Source organism: Homo sapiens, chromosome 17, assembly GCF_000001405.40.
Source record: "Homo sapiens chromosome 17, GRCh38.p14 Primary Assembly".
Classification (NCBI taxonomy): domain Eukaryota; kingdom Metazoa; phylum Chordata; class Mammalia; order Primates; family Hominidae; genus Homo; species Homo sapiens.
In genome coordinates, this window is record NC_000017.11 from 30,585,373 (window position 1) to 30,600,052 (window position 14,680).

The following is a 14,680-nucleotide window of genomic DNA, read 5'->3' on the forward strand; positions in this document are numbered from 1 at the left end:
AGCGAGATTGTTTTTTCTCCAGACACACTGAGCTGAATGGGTGCAGGCTCCAGCTTGTAAACTTTTGCTCTTTTTATTGACCTTTTGCACAGAACCAATATTTTGCTTTAGGCCAGGCGCGGTGGTGCCTTCCTGTAATCCCAGCACTTTGGGAGGCCAAGGTGGGCGGATCACCTGAGATCAGGAGTTTGAGACCAGCCTGACCAATATGGTGAAACCCTGTCTCTAATAAAAGTACAAAAATTAGCTGGGCCTGGTGGCACGCACCTGTAGTACCAGCTACTCAGGAGGCTGAGGCAGGCGAATCGCTTGAACCCGGGAGGCAGAGGTTGCAGTGAGCCGAGATCGCATCACTGCACTCCAGCCTGGGCGACAGAGCAAGACTCCATCTCAAAAAAGACCAAAAAAAAACTGCTTTATTGACCAGGTCAAACATCTTCCCTTTCACTTCTGCCTTTATTAATTATTTCTTTGAGGTCTCCCATCTTTGAGAGTTGAACATTTGGCTTCTTTATTATCAGGGGTTTTTTTTTCTTTTTTTTGAGACGTAGTCTTGCTCTGTCGCCCAGGCTGGAGTGCAGTGGTGCGATCTTAGCTCACTGCAAGCTGTGCCGCCTGGGTTCAAGCGATTCTCCTGCCTAAGCGTCCCGAGTAGCTGGAACTACAGGCACAGGCCACCACGCCCAGCTAATTTTTTTTTTTTTTTTTTTTTTTTTTTTTTTGGAGATGGAATCTCACTGTGTCACCCAGGCTGTTGCGCAGGCTCGTAATCCCAGCACTTTGGAAGGCCGAGGTGGGCAGATCACTTGAGCCCAGGAGGTTCAAGACCAGCCTGGGCAACATGGCAAAACCCCATCACTGCCAAAAGTACAAAAAAATTAGCCTTGTGTGGTCGTGTACACCTGTGGTCCCTGCTACTTGGGAGCCTGAGGTGGGAGGATCTCTTAAGCCTGGGGGCAGAGGTTGCAGTGAGCAGAGATCACGCCACTTGTATTCCAGCTTGGGAGATGGAGTGAGACCCCGTCTCAAAAAAAAAAAAAGGCATGTCTTTTATCTGAGTCTTTTAAAGCATCCTTTGAAAGAGTTTTATATTTTTCCTCATAAAGATTTTGTGCATTTGTGTTAGGTTAATTCCAGGATACACAATAATTTCTGGTGCTATTGTGTCATATCTTAATTCACATTTTCTCATTACTTATTGAATCAGTAGTATCAGTTACATCATTTATGTATGGCTGCATAATAAACCACTCCCTAAACTCAGTGAATAAACACAACCAGGCCAGGCACAGTGGCTCACAGCTGTAATCCCAGCACTTTGGGAGGCCAAGGTGGGCAGATCACCTGAGGTCAGGAGTTCGAGAACACCCTGGCCAACATGGTGAAATCCCATCTCTACTAAAAATACAAAAAAATGAGCCAGGCGTGGTGGTGGGCACCTGTAATCCCAGCTGCTCGGGAGGCTGAGGCAGGAGAATCGCTTGAACGAAGGTGAAGGTTGCAGTGAGCCAAGATTAGGCCACTACACTCCAGCCTGGGCTACAGACAGAGCAAGACTCCATCTCAAAAAAAAAACCACAACCATGTTATTACTCATGATTCTGGGGGGTCAGAGTTTCAGGCAGCTCTCTGCAGAAAGTGCTTCACATGACATCAGTGGGGTGACTGGACTGTCTTAGAGGCTTCAAGATGGCTTCATTCACATGTTTGAGGGCCTGGTGGTGGGCAGGAGAGCAAAGGCACATTGCAAAGGGGTGGATCCGGAGAGGCATGATTCACTGGGGATAGTTTTTAATATTTTACCTTAGTGAGGAGGAACATTGTATTGGTTAGATTTATGTGTCAATTTGACTGGGCCATGGGGTGCCCAGGTATTTGGTCACACATTATTCTGGGTGTTTCTGTGAGGGTGTTTTTGGGTGAGCGTAACATTTAAATTGGTAAACTGAGTCAAGCAGATTGCCCTCCATAATGTGGGTGGGCCTCATCCAATAAGTTGAAGGCCTGATCAGAACAAAAGGCTCACCATCCCCCAAGTAGGAGAATTCTCCTGCCTGATGGCCTTGGCCTTTGAAATGAGTCATTGGCTCTTCCTGGTTCTACAGTAGCTTCCTGACTTCACACTTAAACTGAGACATTGATTCAGACTTGGGCTGATTTGGATTTGCCAGCCTCCATAATTGCATAAGCCAATTCCTTCTAATAATCCTTTTTTATTCCTTATGAATGAATGAATGAATGCACCCTAGTGACTGTTTCTCTAGAGACCCCTGACTATTAATTTTTTTTGTTTTTTTTTAGATGGAGTCTCGCTCTGTTGCCCAGGCTGGAGTGCAGTGGCACAATCTCAGCTCATTGCAACCTCTGCCTCCCAGGTTCAAGCGCTTCTCCTGCCTCAGCCTCCCAAGTAGTTGGGACTACAGGCATGTGCCACCACGCCCAGCTAATTTTTGTATTTTTAGTAGAGACGGGGTTTCACCATGTTGGCCAGGATGGTCTCGATCTCTGGACCTTGTGATCTGCCCACCTCAGCCTCCCAAAGTGCTGGGATTACAGGCATGAGCCACCATGCCTGGCTATTAATTTTTTAAGTGATCATTTACACAGCAATGTTGGTGAACTTTCTGATTCATAAATTTTTTGCTTCCCTAATAAACCTTATAACTCTAATTTATTTTTCTTGCCTTATAATGATGGCAAAGACTTCCAATACTACAATTAAATGTAGCTTTGACAATGGCTATCTTTGCCTTTTTTCCCCAATTCAAAGCAAAATGAGTCTGAAATTTCTCAGCTAACCATAATGTCTTTCTGTAGGTTTTTAGTAGATGTCAAGTTAAGGGTATTCTGTTCCTAACTTTCTGATAGTTTTTTTTAACCATAAATAGCTGTTTACCTTTGCCAAATGCCTTTTCTGCATTTACTGAGATAACTGTATGTTTTGCTTTTATATTGATTAATTTTCTAATGTCAAATTATTTTGATGGGCCTGACTTTTGTCCTCTTTTCTATTTGATTTACTAACATTTTATTTAGAATTTTACCATCTTTGTTGATAAGTAAAATGAGCCTAATTTTATTTTCTTTTACTGTTTTATATGACTTTAGAATCATTTATACCTGCTCCACAGAATGATTTGGGTAACTTTCTATTTTTATTTTCTGGAACAACTTGCACAAGACATGAGGTTTTATTCCTTCCAAGTTTGGTGAAACTTACCTATGGAATTATCAGGACCAGAGAATTTGAGGGTTGTGGAGGATATCTTGATTACCAATTTCTTTCTTTTTTTTTTTTTTTTTTTTTTGAGACAAGGTTTTGCTCTGTTGCCCAGGCTGGAGTGCAATGGTGCGATCTCAGCTCACTGCAACCTCTGCCTCCTGGGTTCAAGCAATTCTCCTGCCTCAGCCTCCCAAGTAGCTGGGATGACAGGCCTGCACTACCACGCCCAGCTAATTTTGAATTTTTAGTAGAGACAGGGTTTCACCGCGTTGGTCAGGCTGGTCTCCAACTCCCAACTGTTATGTGCGTCCACGTGAAGAGAGTCTACCAACAGGCTTTGTGAGAGCAACAAGGCTGTTTATTTCACTTGGGTGCAAGTGGGCTGAGTCCACAAAGAGTCAGCAAAGGGAGATAGGGGTGGGGCAGCTTTATAGGATTTGGGTAGGTAGTGGAAAATTACACTTAAAGGTGGTTATCTCTTGTGGGCAGGGGAGGGGTCACAAGGTGCAGGGTTGGGAGATCATGAGATTCATTGTCCAGGGGAGGAATGTCACAAGGTCGATTGATTAGTTGGAGTGGGGCATGTATATGTGCACGTCACAGGGATTATGATGGCTTAGCTTGGGCTCAGATGTCTGACATTGAGGATCCTTCTTTATCTTCCTCTGATGCCCTTCTATGAGAATGAATCTGTTTTGGAAGAAAACGCAATTAAGATTCTGCATCACAACAACCATTAGCTCCAAATCTGTATTCATTCCTTTTATTCATTATAAGTCTCATCTACCCGAAGAGATAACTTTTTTGAAGACAGGAATTATATGCTGTTTAACAGTGCTTTGATTCTTCCACAGTTCAGTCATCCTTGCTACCTTGCGGGGGACTGGTTCTAGGATACTGCTTCCACAGCATACCAGAATCTGGATGCTCAATCCCTTACATATAATGGTGCAGTATTTGCACATAACTAACACACATCCCCCCATATACTTTATTTACTTACTTAGAGACAGGATCACCCTCTGTTGCTCAGGCTGGAGTGCAATGTCACAATCACAGCTCACTGCAGCCTCAACCTCCTGGGCTCCAGTGATCTGCCCACCTCAGCCTCTTGAGTAGCTGGGACTACAGGTGCATACCACCACACTGGCTAATTTTTCATTTTTATTTTTAGTAAAGACAAGATCTCACTATGCTGCCCAGGTTGGCCTCCCAAAGTGTTGGGATTACAAGTGTGAGCCACCGTGCCTGGTCCCATGTACTTTAAGTCATCACTAATAAAATGTATAGATATTGTACAATGGTGACAGTTGTTATATTGTACTTTCTATTTGTATTTTTATTGTTTCTTTTTTCAAATATTCAGCCTCATCTAATTGAATCTGAAGATGTGGACCTGCTGATGAAGAGGGCTGACTGTATCTAACTTAGGGTCTTGCATGCAGCTGGCACTTAATACATTTTATTGACTGTTTTAGCTAACATTCAACAGACAATTCCTAATAATAATTTAAAAAAAACTCTTAAAAGTAGGAAATAAAGGAAACCTGAGTCCTTCCTCTAAAGTGGCATGAAAACCAGCCTGGAAAGCATAGCGAGACCTTATCTCTACAAAAAAATTTTTAAAATTAGCTGCTTGCCTGTAGTCCCAGCCACTCAGGAAGCTGAGGCAGGAAGATCCCTTAAGCCCAGGAGTTTGAGGTTACAGTGAGCTAGATCACACCATTACTCCCCAGCCTGGGTGACAACAAGGCCCTGAGAAAGAAAAACAAAGAAAGGAAAGGAAAAAAAGGGAAAGGAAAGGAAGGAAAGAGTATAAGTATTGAAAAGGAAGAGACAAAACTATCATTATTTGCATATGAAATGATAAATGTTAGACAGCCTAAGAAGCCTGAGAGACTCAACTAAGATTTTACTGGAAGTAATATGAGAATTCAGTATGGTATGTCAGCCTGGGTGACACAGTGAGATCATGTCTCAAATTTTTTTTTATCTACATAAGCAGAATAGGCACAAAAATTATCTAAGATATCTTTTTTTTATTAATTTATTTTTATTTTTTTTTTTTAGACAGAGTCTCGCTCTTGTCAACCAGGCTGGAGTGCAATGACACGATCTCAGCTCACTGCAACCTCTGCCTTCCCGGGTTCAAGCGGTTTTCCTGCCTCAGCCTCCCTAGTAGCTGGGATTACAGGTGCCTGCCACCATGTCTGGCTAATTTTTGTATTTTTAGTAGAGACGGGGTTTCACCATGTTGGCCAGGCTGGTCTCAAACTCCTGACCTCAAGTGATCTGCCTGCCTTAGCCTCCCAAAATGCTGGGATTACAGGCATGAGCCACTACGCCTGGCCCTGGGCATCTTTTTAAACTGCAGGCACTGATTCAGTAGGTCTGAGCTGCGGGCAGAGACCCAGTACTTGTCTAATAGGCTTCCTCTGAAGCCAGGCTGCAATTCTGCACCACACTTGGAAGAGCAGGTTCAAGACCAGTGTATCTTCTGCCATTTCAAACTACTCAAAAATCCTTCCTCCTATCTCAAGGTCTGTCTCAATGTAATTCCAATTGCATCCCCACCACACTGGTCCTGGCTACTTCCTGCAGAACCACATGGAACAAATTTAATTGACCTGAACTTGATAGCTTATCAGCTATGTTAAGGCAGCTAGCTGTTAGGGTCCCTTGAGTTTTCTTTTCTTTTCTTTTGAGACAGGGTCTCACTCTGTCACCCAGGCTGGAGTGTAGTGGCACAATCTTGGCTCCCAGGTTCAAGCGATTCTCATGCCTCAGTCTCCCCAGTAGCTGAGACTACACGTGTGCACCACCACGCCTGGCTAATTTTTGTATTTTTTAGTAGAGATGGGTTTTCGCCATGTTAGCCAGGCTGGTCTCAAACTCTGAGCCTCAAGCGATCTGCCCACCACAGCTTCCCAAAGTGCTGGAATTACAGGCGTGAGCCACTGCGCCCAGCCGACAATTAGATATCTTTGAAAGAAAGACTCTATAGCAGTTGATGATAACGCAGAAGTTTTTAGTTTTAGTTTATTGACGTGACCCTTCTCCTGACTGTGTAACCACTTATCTTCCTCTTCCCATTCATCTAATATGGGGTGGTATAATATGTGATATTACCAATAAAATTCTAATATATGCTTTTTGTGGAAAATTCAGAAAACATCGAAGCTAAACATGAAAATCTGCCAGGCAAGGTGGCTTACCCCTATAATTCCAGCACTTTGGGAGGCCAAGGCAGGCAGATCACTTGAGACCAGGAGTTTCAGACAAGCCTGTCCAACATGGCAAAACCCTGTCTCTACTAAAAATGCAAAACAGCCTGGCATGGTGGTGCACACCTGTAGTCCCAGCTACTTGGGAGGCTGAGGCAGGAGAATCGCTTGAACCCAGGAGGTGGAGGTTGCAGTGAGCTGAGATTGTGCCATTTCACTCCAGAAGCCTGGGCGACAGAATGAGACAAAAAAAAAAAAAGAAAGTTGAAAATGAAAATCTCATATGATGCCATCATCTAGTGGCAACTACTATTGACGTTGGGTATATTTCTTTTATTTCTTTTCTATTTGCATATTTTATCTTGCTAAAACTCAATATCTTACCTGTTTTAACAATAGATGTTCATTACAGAAAAAGTGGAAAATATGAATATGCCAAAGAAGAAATAGAAATCCCCATGGTCCCATTACCTAGAAACAACCTCTAGTTACATTTTGACGTGTTTCCTTAAAGATGTTTAAATTGGCCAGGCACAGTGGCTCACACCTGTAATCCCAGCACTTTGGGAGGCCAAGGCAGGTGGATTACCTGAGGTCAAGAGTTCGAGACCAGCCTGACCAATATGGTGAAACCCCATCTCTACTAAAAATAAAAAAATTAGCTGAGCATGGTGGTGGGTGCCTGTAATCCCAGGTACTTGGGAGAAGCTGAGGCAGCAGAATCGCTTTAACTCAGGAGGCGGAGGTTGCAGTGAGCCGAGATTGTGCCACTACACTGCAGCCTGGGCGACAGAGTGAGACTGTCTCAAAAAAAAAAGAAAGAAAGAAAGAAAGAAAGAAATGGGGGATATATATTCTATACACATTAAAAAGGTAGTAAGGAAATACTAAAACTAGTTCTACATAAATTCAACAACTTAGATGAAATGGACCAATTCCTCAAAAAAATGAAAATAATCTACCACAATTCATCCAATATGAAATGGATAATAAGAACAGCCTTATGGCTATTAAGAAAATTAAATTTGTAATTAAAAAATTCACAAACAAGAAGTCTCCAGACTCAAATGATTTCACTAGACAATTCTACCAGTTAAAAAATAATTAACACCGCCAGGCAAGGTGGCTCACACCTGTGATTCTAGCACTTTGGGAGGCCGAGGCTGGTGGATCACAAGGTCCAGAGATCGAGACCATCCTGGCCAACATGGTGAAAACCTGTCTCTACTAAAAATACAAAAATTAGCTGGGCATGCTGGCACGCGCCTATAATCCCAGCTACTAGGGAGACTGAGGCAGGAGAATCACTTGAACCCGGGAGGCAGAGGTTGCAGTGAGCCAAGATCATGCCACTGCACTCCAGCGGGGGTGACACAGCAAGACTCCGTCTCAAAAAAATAATAATAATAATAATTAACACCAACCCTACCCAAACTCTTTCAGAAAATAGAAAAGAACATTGCTTAATCATTTTAAGAAGTTAGTATTTACTCTGACACCAAAACCAAAGGAAGCACACACAAAAAAGGCGAAAACTGCCAAACAATACCCATCATAAATAAAGATGCAAAATCCTTAACAAAATATTAGCAAATAGAATTAATATATGAGAATTACACAACATGACAAAGGGGGGTTTATTCCAAGGATACATAGCTGATTTGATATTTGAAAATTAAAAGGCTAAAAGAAAAAAAATCATGTCAATTAATTTCAGAAAAAAAGTATTTGACAAAATTTAACACCAACTCATAATAAAATTCAGGTAAAATAGGTATATGGGGGCTAGTCGCGGTGGCTCACACCTGTAATCCTAGCACTTTGGGAGACCAAGGCGGGGGCGGGGGGGGGTGGGGGGTGGATCACGAGGTCAGGAGTTCAAGACCAGCCTGGCCAAAATGGTAAAACCCCATCTCTACTAAAACTACAAAAGTTAACCAGGCGTGGCCGGGTGTGGTGGCTCACGTCTGTAATCCCAGCACTTTGGGAGGCCAAGACAGGCAGATCATGAGGTCAGGAGATCGAGACCATCCTGGCTAACACAGTGAAACACCGTCTCTACTGAAAATACAAAAAAAAAAAAAAAAAAAATTAGCCAGGCTTGGTGGCGGGTGCCTGTAGTCCCAGCTACTCGGGAGGCTGAGGCAGGAGAATGGTGTGAACCCGGGAGGCAGAGCTTGCAGTGGACCGAGATTGTGCCACTGCACTCCAGCCTGGGCTACAGAGTGAGACCCCGTCTCAAAAAAAAAAAAAAAAAAAAAAAAAAAAACCCAGGCGCAGTGGCAGGCGCCTGTAATCCCAGCTACCTGGGAGGCTGAGGCAGGAGAATCGCTTGAACCTGGGTGGCAGAAGTTGCTGTGAGCTGAGATTGCGCCACTGCACTCTAGCCTGGGCGACAGAGTAAGACTTTCTCTCAAAAAAAAAAAAAAAGTATGAAAGGTATATGGGGAGAATTTCCTGAATTTGATTAAAAAAAAAAAAACCTGCCAAAAAATTAGAGTTAACATTATAAAGTGCTGGGATTACAGGCACGAGCCACTGCACCCAGCCGTCTTTTTTTTTTGCTTGTTTTTGAGACAGTCTCAGTCTGCTGCCCAGGATGGAATGCAGTGGCGCTGGAATGCTGAAGGGGGCCTGCCCCTCCACACCTGTGGGTATTTCTCGCAAGGTGGAGATGAGAGACTGAGAAAACAAATAAGACACAGAGACAAAGTATAGAGGAATAAAAGTGGGCCCAGGGGACCAGCGCTCAGCAAGCAAGGGCCTGCACCAGCACTGGTCTCTGAGTTCCCTCAGTATTTATTGATCACTATCTCTACCATCTCGGCGAGGGGGATGTGGCAGGACTATAGGGTAATGGTGGGTAGAGGGTCAGCAGGAAAACGTGAGCAAAGGACTCTGTGTCATAAACAAGTTTAAGGAAAGGTGCTGTGCCTCGATGTGCACATAGGCCAGATTTACGTTTGACTTCACGCAAACATCTCAGTGCAGTAAAGAGCAGTACTGCCGCCAGCACGTCTCATCTCCAGCCATAAGGCGGTTTTCTCCTATCTCAGTAAATCGAATGTACGATCAATCGGGTTTTACACCGAAACATTCCATTCCCAGGGATGAGCAGGAGACAGATGCTTTCCTCTTATCTCAACTGCAAAGAGGCCTTCCTTTTTCACTGATCCTCCTCAGCACAGACCCTTTACGGGTGTCGGGCTGGGGGACGGTCAGGTCTTTCCCTTCCCACGAGGCCATATCTCAGGCTGTCTCAGTGGGGGGAAACCTTGGACAATACCCAGGCTTTCTTGGGCAGAGGTCCCTGCGGCCTTCCGCAGTGCATTGTGTCCCTGGGTACTCAAGACTGGAGAATGGCGATGACTTTTACCAAGCACACTGCCTGCAAACACATTTTTACCAAGGCACATCCTGCACAGCCCTAAATCCATTAAACCTTGAGTCAATATAGCACATGTTTCTGCGAGCACAGGGTTGAGGATAGGGTTACAGATTAACAGCATCTCAAGGCTTTCGGGGGACCTGCCCCGATAATCATGTAGGTTCTTTTCTATTTTTCCTAAGCGTCGGCCGGCTTGAGAAATAAAGGGACAGAGTACAAAAGAGAAATTTTAAAGCTGGGCGTCCGGGGTAGACATCACACGTTGGTAGGATCCGTGATGCCCCACAAGCCACAAAAACCAGCAAGTTTTTATTAGGGCTTTTCAAAAGGGGAGGGAGTGTGCGAATAGGTGTGGGTGACAGACATCAAATACTTAACAGGGTAATAGAATATCACAAGGCAAGTGGAGGCAGGGTGAGATTACAGGACCACAGGACTGAGGCGAAATTAAAATTGCTAATGAAGTTTCGGGCACTATTGTCATTGGTAACATCTTATCAGGAGACAGGGTGTTGAGATCAATTGGTCTGACCAAAATTTATTAGGCAGGAATTTCCTCTTTCTAATAAGCCTGGGAGCGCTATGGGAGACTGGAGTATATTTCATCTCTGCAATTTCGACCATAAGAGACAGGCGCACCTGGGGGTGCTGTTTATAAGCCTATACCTCCAGGCGTGTATTCTCTTCCTCAGGGACGTTCCGTGCTGAGAAAAAGAATTCAGCGATATTTCTCCCATTTCTTTTGAAAGAGGAGAAATATGGCTCTGTTCTGCCCGGCTCACCAGTGGTCAGAGTTTAAGGTTATCTCTCTTGTTTCCTAAACATTGTTGTTATCTTGTTCTTTTTTCAAGGTGCCCAGATTTCATATTGTTTAAACACACATGCTCTACAATTTGTGCAGTTAATGCAATTATTACAGGGTCCTGAGGTGACATACATCCTCCTCGACTGACAGGATTAAGAGATTAAAGTAAAGACAGGTTGGCCGGGCGCAGTGGCTCACGCCTGTAATCCCAGCACTTTCAGAGGCCGAGGTGGGTGGATCACGAGGTCAGGAGATCGAGACCATCCTGGTGAACACGGTGAAACCCCGTCTCTACTAAAAATACAAAAAATTAGCTGGGCATGGTTGCGGGCGCCTGTAGTCCCAGCTGCTCAGGAGGCTAAGGCAAGAGAATGGCCTGAACCCGGGAGGCGGAGCTTGCAGTGAGCCGAGATTGTGCCACTGCACTCCAGCCTGGGCAACAGAGCGAGACTCCCTCTCAAAAAAAAAAATAAATAAAAAATAAAAAAATAAAGTAAAGACAGGCATAGGAAATCACAAGGGTATTGACTGGGGAAGTGATAAGTGTCCATGAAATCTTTACAATTTATGTTTAGAGATTGCAGTAAAGACAGGCATAAGAAATTACAAAAGTATTAATTTGGGGAACTAATAAATGTCCATAAAATCTTCACAATCCATGTTCTTCTGTCATAGCTTCAGCCAGTCCCCCCATTTGGGGTCCCTGACTTCCCACAACACAAGGCAGCAGAATTTTTCTTAGTACAGATCAAAATGGAGTTTCTTTTATTTATTTATTTATTTTTTATTATTATACTTTTAAGTTTTAGGGTACACGTGCACAATGTGCAGGTTAGTTACATATGTATACATCTGCCATGCTGGTGCGCTGCACCCACCAACTCATCATCTAGCATTAGGTATATCTCCCAGTGCTATCCCTCCCCCCTCCCCCCACCCCACAACAGTCCCCAGAGTGTGATGTTCCCCTTCCTGTGTCCATGTGCTCTCATTGTTCAATTCCCACTTATGAGTGAGAATATGCGGTGTGTGGTTTTTTTGTTCTTGCGATAGTTTACTGAGAATGATGATTTCCAGTTTCATCCATGTCCCTACAAAGGACATGAACTCATCATTTTTTATGGCTGCATAGTATTCCATGGTGTATATGTGCCACATTTTCTTAATGAGTCTATCATTGTTGGACATTTGGGTTGGTTCCAAGACTTTGCTATTGTGAATAATGCCGCAATAAACATACGTGTGCATGTGTCTTCATAGCAGCATGATTTATAGTCCTTTGGGTATATACCCAGTAATGAGATGGCTGGGTCAAATGGTATTTCTAGTTCTAGATCCATGAGGAATTGCCACACTGACTTCCACAATGGTTGAACTAGTTTACAGTCCCACCAACAGTGTAAAAGTGTTCCTGTTTCTCCACATCCTCTCCAGCACCTGTTGTTTCCTGACTTTTTAATGATCGCCATTCTAACTGGTGTGAGATGGTATCTCACTGTGGTTTTGATTTGCATTTCTCTGATGGCCAGTGATGGTGAACATTTTTTCATGTGTCTTTTGGCTGCATAAATGTCTTCTTTTGAGAAGTGTCTGTTCATGTCCTTCGCCCACTTTTTGATGGGGTTGTTTGTTTTTTTCTTGTAAATTTGTTTGAGTTCATTGTAGATTCTGGATATTAGCCCTTTGTCAGATGAGTAGGTTGCGAAAATTTTCTCCCATTTTGTAGGTTGCCTATTCGCTCTGATGATAGTTTCTTTTGCTGTGCAGAAGCTCTTTAGTTTAATTAGATCCCCAAAATGGAGTTTCTTATGTCTTCCTCTTTCTACATAGACACAGTAACAGTCTGATCTCTATTTCTTTCCCCCACAGAATGCAGTAGCATGATCATGGCTCACTGCAACCTTGACCTCTGTGGGCTCAGGTGATCCTCCTATCTCAGCCTTCCGAGTAGCTGGGCCTATAGGTGCATGCCACCACTCTCGGCTAATTTTTTGTAGATATGAGGTTTCGCCATGTTGCCCACGTTGGTTTCAAACTCCTGAGCTCAACTGATTCCTCTGCTTCAGCCTCCCAAAGTGCTAGGATTACAGGCATGAGTCACCATGCCCAGTCCTTGAATGGTTTTAAAGTGTTATTCTTATCTGAATATTTGTTTTAAACAATAGTATTTAAACTTACAAGAAAGCCTAAATACAAACCTCTGCATGTTAACCCTGTATACATTTTTCTATGCTGTCACTTACATTTTTGAATGTACTGCTTTAAACTTCAAAACAAGCAGTCTCCCCCAGGTCTCCCATCACCTTCTGAAATACTAACTTACATTAACTAATATAAAGCTACAAATTATGTTAGTTGGGTGGCTGGAAACAAAGAATGTGCCATAAAAATAAGGCAAATGTGAATGTGTACATCAGTTTGCTAAGTTTTTTGCCACTGTTCAGCCTCTTAAATTGTGGTAGCAGCTATTGTTCACATTGATTTGTATATATCTGTAGTACAAGGAAGCATTTCTAAAGGACCTTGCTCATTGTTCTGCACAAAATAGCCACTTAATATTTGTTGAATGAATTGCTGGCACTATCTCTGGTATTTTTATTTTTATTTATTTATGTATTTATTTTTGATACGGAGCCTCATTCTGTTGCCCAGGCTGAAGTGCAGTGGCGTGATCTTGGCTCACTGCCACCTCTCGGGATCAAGCGATTCTCGTGCCTTGGCCTCCCTAGTAGCTGGGACTACAGGCATGCGCCATCACGCCTGGCTAATTAATATATATATATATATATTTTTTTTTTTTTTTTTTAGCAGAGACGGGATTTCACCAAGTTGGCCAGGCTGGTCTTGAACTCCTGACCTCAAATGATCCGCCCGCCTTGGCCTCCCAAAGTGTTGGGATTACAGGGGTGAGCCACCCTGCCCGGCCTATCTGTGGTATTTCTAGTGTGATGTCTAGAACTTCATATACTTTTTTGGATTACTTTAATTGTAAGGCTGTATCCAAACTGATGAAATGCTCTCAGAGGTAACTATCTGGAGAGGTGACTACACTGATGCATTAAAAGAAATGACTGGCATGGAATAAGGATTAAAATATATTAATCCAAAACATTTAAAATTGCATTAATAACAGCCTAAAGCAAAACTAATGAATCACATAAAAAATCTCCCACGCTGTTGTTCTTAGTAGTTTACATTGTGCTACATACTTTCGCATGCATATGCATACAACTTCTATTCTGTTTTTAAACTTTGCATTACATATACATTCTTCCATATTATATGATCTTCATAAAACTTGTCAGTTAAATGGCTGCATTAAAAAGCATGCGGTTCATGGACCATTATGCTGTTCCCTCATTCCTTTTGTTATTAATGGAATATAGCAAAGAACATCTTCCGTACTATTATTTATTTGTCAAGAATAGGGCCAGGCATGGTGGCTCAGGGAGCCGAGCCTGAGAGCACTTTGGGAGGCCGAGGCAGGCGGATCTCTTGAGGTCAGGAGTTCGTGACCAGCCTGGCAACGTGGGGAAACCTAAATGTCTCTACTAAACATGTCTCTACTAAAAATACAAAAATTAATGGGGCGTGGTGGTGCACACCTGTGGTCCCAGCTACTCCAGAGGCTCATGTGAGAGTATCACCAGAGCCCAGGAAGTTGAGGCTGCAGTGAGGCGTGGTCACACTACTGCACTCAAGCCTGGGCGACAGAGGGTGACCCTGTCAAAAAAAAAAAAAAAAATCCTAGCAGTAAAGTTACAAGGTCAAAGGATAAGGTACACATTTAAAAAGAAATTTTCTTTCTCCTCCTGAGATAACTAAATACAGCAGTGTATGAACAACCCTTCATACATTACTCTCCAAGGTTTATCTTGTTAATCCTTTCAGATGTTATCATCTCCCTATCCTTGGCTGCACCTGAAAAGAGCAGGAGCCGGCAGGTAACCCGATCGCCTCCCCCAGGTGAGTCTCCGATGGAGGTGTCAACTACAAGACCAGGAGCAGAGCAGTCCTGGGGCTTTGCTGGAACCATTGGC

At 43.3% G+C, this 14,680-nt stretch overlaps 1 long non-coding RNA gene and 1 pseudogene across 3 annotated transcripts in view; one reads left to right on the forward strand and one right to left on the reverse strand.

The window, feature by feature from the left end:
* The window catches only part of SMURF2P1-LRRC37BP1 (SMURF2P1-LRRC37BP1 readthrough transcribed pseudogene), a 61,002-nt pseudogene that overhangs the window by 8,908 nt on the left and 37,414 nt on the right, over positions 1-14,680 (forward strand). Inside the window, exon 2 of the transcript NR_015341.2 lies at positions 14,532-14,606. The product of NR_015341.2 is annotated as an SMURF2P1-LRRC37BP1 readthrough transcribed pseudogene (transcript). The remainder of the gene's footprint in view (positions 1-14,531; positions 14,607-14,680) is intronic.
* On the reverse strand, positions 3,564-6,617 carry LOC124903978 (uncharacterized). 2 transcript variants are annotated; one of them, XR_007065708.1, is made up of 2 exons: positions 6,574-6,617; positions 3,564-3,913 (listed from the first exon to the last, which is right to left on the reverse strand). It is a non-coding gene; the product is annotated as an uncharacterized LOC124903978 (long non-coding RNA). The 2 variants fall into 2 exon arrangements; XR_007065707.1 differs by lacking the exon at positions 6,574-6,617 and adding an exon at positions 6,439-6,477.